Source organism: Homo sapiens, chromosome 8 (genome assembly GCF_000001405.40).
Source record: "Homo sapiens chromosome 8, GRCh38.p14 Primary Assembly".
Lineage (NCBI taxonomy): Eukaryota > Metazoa > Chordata > Mammalia > Primates > Hominidae > Homo > Homo sapiens.
In genome coordinates this window covers 135,293,933-135,299,932 of record NC_000008.11, presented here as the reverse complement: position 1 = coordinate 135,299,932, position 6,000 = coordinate 135,293,933, and the positions used below count along the sequence as shown (strand labels likewise).

Genomic DNA, 6,000 nt, shown 5'->3' with positions numbered 1-6,000 from the left:
GTCGCATGGACTCATGGCAGTCTGTGGAGAGGGCTAAGGCCTCCTGTAGACATCCAGTGAAGGACGGAGACAGGTCAACAACCATGGGGCAAACTTGGAAGAAGACCTTCCAGCCTTCAGATGACTGCAGCCCTGGCAGACAGCTCGACTGTTTGCACTCCCAAACTCCTGACCACAGATAATGAAAGAATAAAATCTGGTGTTTCAAGCCACTTAGTTTTGTGATTATTTTTATGCAATGATCGATAATGAATGCAAATGGTCACGGTTTCCAAAGCCCGTAGGGTGCAATACTGCCTTAACAATTTGTAATGATAACATTTAAATATAATTATACATATTTGTCACTTTTATAGTTTATAAACAGCTTGCTCACTTACGTTCATTTAATAGAAGAGTCCATTCTTTTTTTCTCCACAATGCACTGCCTCATTTCAGGATAGCAAAATTTCCAGGTGTTAACTTTTGCCTCATATTCAGCATAGCGTGGTAGAACAAATGTGGTCCTTGGAGTCAAACAGACTGGGTTATCTTAACTGAGACAAATTTATACATAAGAAAACAGATTTTAAAAGGTATTTTTTAATGAGTTGTGTCAAATACATACCCCCCTCTAAAAAATACCAGTAAAAATAAAGGATGTTTTAATCATCCTAGAAAGTTGTCTCACGGTTCTTCTCATTTAATCCTCACTGCCCTAAAGGCAACCAGTGTTCTAATTTCAATCACCATAGATTAGTTTTGCCTGTCCTTGAACTTCATATAAATGAACCATGGAGTATGTGCTCTGTCTAGCTACTTCACTCAGTACAATGTTCTTAAGATTCATTCATGTTGCTGTGGATATCAGTACTTCATAGCATTTATTGCTAATTAGCAGTTCATTGAATTAACATATTACATGCGTATACATTCTCCTATTGGTAGACATTTGGGCTGTTTCTAGGTTAGAGATATTAAATTTAGCTTTATAAACATTCTAAGACAAGACTTTTCATAGAAATGTCTTTTCATTTATCTTGGGTAAATACTTAGGAGTGGAATTGCTAAGTTGTAGGACTGATGTACATTTAACTTTGTGAGAAATTCCAGAGTTTTCCAAAGTCTGTCATTACATCTCCACTGCATGTGTGAGGGTTTCCATTGTTTCTCATTCTAGCCCACATTTTCTTTCTTCTTTTGTTTTTAATTTTAGCCATTCTAGTAGGTATGTGGTAGTATTTTATTGTGACTTTAATTTACATTTTCCTAATGACTAAAAATAGTGAGCTTTTTCTGCAACCTCATTGCCCATTCATATATCTTTTATGAAGTGTCTACTCAAGTCATTGGCCTATTTTTATGACATCATTTTTTTTTTTTGAGACGGAGTCTCTCTCTTGTCGCCCAGGCTGGAGTGCAATGGCACGATCTCGGCTCACTGCAACCTCCGCCTCCTGGGTTCAAGCCATTCTCCTGCCTCTGCCTCCCGAGTAGCTGGGATTACAGGCATTACAGGCATGCACCACCACACCTGGCTAATTTTGTATTTTTAGTAAAGACAGTGTTTCTCCATGTTGGCCAGGCTGGTCTCAAACTCCTGACCTCAGGTAATCCACCCACCTTGGCCTCCCAAAGTGCTGGGATTGCAGGCATGAGCCACCGTGCCCAGCTGACATCATTTTTTAAATCGTTAATTTGCAGATATTATTTTATATTATTAATATTAGTCTTTTGTAAGATATAGGTCCTGTGAATAATTCCTCCAAGTCTATGATTTGCCCTTTCATTTTATCAACAGAAGTGTGTGTGTGTGTTTGTGTGTGTGTGTGTGTGTGTGTGTGTGTGTGTGTCTAAGAGTCTTCAATTTTAATGAAGTTCAACTTATCAGTTTTTTTCTTTTGGGTTATTTTTGTAGAGTTTCTAAGAAATCTTTCTATCTAGAGCTTGAAAATATTCTTCCTTCTCTTAAAGAAGATTAATAGGACTGGTTTTTGCATATATGTCCATGATCCATCTTAAATTGATTTTCATGTTTGATTAGGAAAGTGTTAGAATGTCTCTTTTCCCTCTATTTCTTGAAAGGAATTTTCTTACCCTGTTAAATTGCTAGCATAATTTTTTAAAAAAATCAATTGATCCAAATGTCTGGATTTATTTGTAGATTCCCTCATTCTGTTCTATTGATTTAATTGTCTGTCCTTATGCCAATACTACACTGCATTTATTGCTGTAGCTTTACAGTAAATCTAGAAATAAGACAGTATGAGTTTTCCAAATTTTCCTTTTCCAAGACTATTTTGTTTTTCAGGTCCTTTGCTTTTCCATATACATTTTAGAATAAATTTTCAATTTTTAAAGGACTTGTGTGACTTTTGTTACATTATGCCTTTCAAAGAATTTGTCCGTATCTCAATTTTATCTAAGTTGTTGAATTTATTACTAAAAATATGCTTATAATATTTTTTGTCAGCTCTTTGTTGTCTTTAAAATCAGTACTGTTATATCATCTTCTACTACAGGGTTTCTTTGTATTTACCTTGCTTTATGTTTGCTGAGATTCTTAGATCTATAAGCTGATATTTTTATAAAATTTGGGACGGTCTGGAAATTGTCTTGAAATATTTTTCCTGCATATTGTCTCCTTTGGAGGCTTCAGTTATGCATAAGCTAGGCATTTGATATTATCCCGTGTGCCAATGAGGCGCTTTTCCTGTTTTCAAGCTTTCCTCCCATTTATTCTTCAGGTTAGATTATTTCTATTGATTTTATCTCAAGCTTATTAATCCTTTCTTTTGTTATCTCTAACATGCTGTTAAGTCATTACACACATTTAATTATTATAATTTTCAACTTTAGAATTTTCAAATCTTTCCTTTGTAAAACTGGTTTTCTAATTTGTTGAAGCCTGGTTTTGTCTTCATTTTGCCCTTATCCTAAGGATTGATCCTCAATCGAGGGCTGGGTCCTTATTCCTATAGTTTGGCCCTTCTGAAGTTGGTCCTTGAGGTCTCAGCTGAATACTTGAGGTGCTCAGTGAGGTATCTACTCTGTCTGAGCTGAACCTCCAATGTGTCACAGCTCTCCATGACCTCAGCAACTTCCCTTCAGTTTTCAGCTCTCAGCAGCTGCTCTCTGTTAGGCTTTGTGTAGTCTTGCCCTGGCGCGCATGCAACGGGAAACCCCAAACATATGTCTCACCTGTGTGCCTCTTACAGATCCTATCTCTTGGGTACTCTTGAACAAACATGAGGTCTGCCTCCTTGGTTTAGCAATACTCTTTCACTTGGGTTTCACTTCTCTGTGTTGAAGTTGAGAGAGTGCTCCGAAGCGGAAAGCCAGGATAAATATGAGGCTCATCTTGTGTGATTCTCTTTCCTTCAGGTTGATAGTCCTGTGCTGCTTGACATCCAATGCCTGAAAACATTTGCTTTACACAATTTGTATAGGTTCATCACTGTTTGGGTCAGGAAGAGAAATTTGTATCAGTCATTTCATTGTGGCCAGAGCCAGGCTAACTTTTGATCCCTTGACCTAACATTGTCTTACTGAATACCTTGGGCAAGTTAATTCATCTTCTGTGTTCTCAACTTGTTTATTTACAAATGGAGATTATAATACTTAGACCATAAGCTCAGTGATAATGGCTGCCTTGCCTATTTTGCTCATTTCTATATCTCCACTGCTTAACAAAATGCCTAGCATGTAGAAAGCATTCAACAAGTGTTCATTATTTAACCATATTAATTTTTTAATGTGTTCATTCATTCAAGTAATGTTGTTAAGTGAATATCTGTTTTACAGAGATGTTGCAAAGAATATATTAAGTGAGAACATTTGTGTAACATGTCTAATATGAAACTTGTAGTAAGGATGCAGGACATTATAAATAGTTTTAAAAAATGATTGTTGAATGTAGTTATATTTCCAGATCCGAGGGTCTACAGATGTGCCATTTAAGAAAAAAATGAGTAATATTTTAGGAAAAAAAATGTATAGACATGCCTCTTGTTAGAACATCACTGAATAGTCTATGAATGTCACTATTGACTTAAAAGGATATGAGGTCAGCTCATCCTCAAGGTTGATTCTGCCCTGGAGCATTTGTGAGCCCTGTACTTGCAGTGTGTTAGACAGAGCATTGACTGGCTGGCTGGTTGGTTGACCAAGTAGGTATTACGGCTTTTGTCCAGGTGGGGTGAACAGGATGGCTGAGTTTATTTGGCTGAATCTCTGCAGTAGTCCCCAAGGATGGGTGTCATTGCCTGCATTAATGAGTCTCTGCATTCAAATAGGTTGTAAACAAGCCATGATTTCTGGCCCAGCAAGAACTACAGCCACAGTGGGGAGGGTGGGAGGGCACAGAGTAGGAGGAAGCCAGATTTATAAAACTCCAGAGGGTTGTTCATGCCTCCGTTCTCTGGAAATGCAATGGCCACCTGATTAAACAGTCTCTTTTATGCATTCTGCTTTGCTTCCAAAGTGCTTCTCACATCATCTGTGACCTCATTTGATCCTCACCCCTCAATGGGTAAAAGGAAGAACTATGTGTCACCATTTTACGAATAAGAAACAGAACCTAGAAGAGATCACGTGCCTTGGCCAAGACCACACAGCTGGGAAGTATGAAAGTCTGGTTTGGGATCCTTATGGCAGAGGGAAAGCAGTTTTCCATGATCTAGAAACAATGATTTTCCTTCCCTTTACCCAAAAGGTGGTCATTTCAGAGTACGCTGTTGAAAATTGAGGAAAATACTTAAAAATACAGCAGGACTTTCTGCCTCTACACAGAATCTTAGTACTTCAGAGCTCAGTGGAGTTTTAGATATCAACAGGTCTGGCTGCCTTAGTCTATGGATGCTGAAACAGAATCTCAGGACGTGAGCCACTCACTGAAGCTCAATAGTCAGTTCTTAGTACAACTGGGCCAGGGGCTCACATACCCTGATGTGCCATTACTGATTTTGCCCTCACACCATGCTGTTTTCGTAGAAGCCTCTCTGGCCTCTGGATTCACAGAATCAAAGAGAACAAGACAATGACAGCTTTGGGGCTTGAGTAGAGCTCAGGCCCTGACTCCACTAAGAGGCCGTGGATGAGTTTGACAGGTCACCATCAAAGAGACCCTTTATGAAGGAGGTGCTTTTAGGCACCCTATGCACGCCACAGTTGTGCTAGTTTCTCTAACCTTAAGCCAAGTCAAGCTGTATTGATCAGAACCAGTTGGGAAATGAATTACTAAGGCTGATCTATAAAGAAATTCAATCTGGAGATGGTGCAAACTAGTGTCAGGATTCCTTATTAGGCACTCTACAGCACAAGCTAAATAAAGCAAACACACAGACATGCACACAAAGGACAAACTTTTTCATGGGATGAAAGTGACATTGTGGTTGGGGAATATGGGTCCATCTAATACCGTGGTAATTGACCATTTTTTAATAACCAACAAACCAATTCTCTCTAAAATGCTTCCAAGAAATGAGAATAAGAAGTGTCTGTATTAACAAAGAGGGAGGCAAATGAAATTAAGCCCCTAGGGCCGCTTTTTCAGTAGCCCTAAGACGCGAGTACGATTCTGTCAGCCACTGCAGTCTACAAATAATGCAAAATGGTTACCTCATTTAATTAGGAGAAGGAAAGTGTGTTGGGAGACAGGGAATCTTCTGAGTGAGAAAAAGCCAGCAGAGAGATCGAACCCTCAATTTCAAAAATTGCTTAGCAAAAGCAATTTCAATTGCTGCCTTTGTTATAAAAGATTAAAGGTAGTTATGTCCCAGTGTACCTCACTTAAAGCAATCAATATGTTCCTGAATAGTTATGTGCAAATCAAATTTTTGTAAATCAAATCCAATTTTAAGTGCCATCAGAGAACCTACTGTTTCAAGGAACCCCTTTGGTGAATCCTTTCGTAAGGTCTAAAACCATCCCCTAATTTATTGGATTGGTTGGCTTAAATGTTTATGATGATGATAAATCAGGTCAATAGAATTTTGTCCCTCTCTCCCATATTTGGGAGAA

General features: G+C 38.4%; 1 long non-coding RNA gene across 3 annotated transcripts in view; it reads right to left on the bottom strand.

Moving 5' to 3' along the window:
• Positions 1–213: 213 nt before the first annotated feature.
• LINC01591 (long intergenic non-protein coding RNA 1591) overlaps positions 214–6,000 on the bottom strand; it is a 65,589-nt gene continuing 59,802 nt past the window's right edge. For all 3 annotated transcript variants that reach the window (NR_026706.2, NR_120395.1, NR_120396.1), the window contains 2 exons: positions 3,181–3,436; positions 214–506 (listed from right to left, as the gene is read on the bottom strand). This is a non-coding gene — a long non-coding RNA (long intergenic non-protein coding RNA 1591). The remainder of the gene's footprint in view (positions 507–3,180; positions 3,437–6,000) is intronic.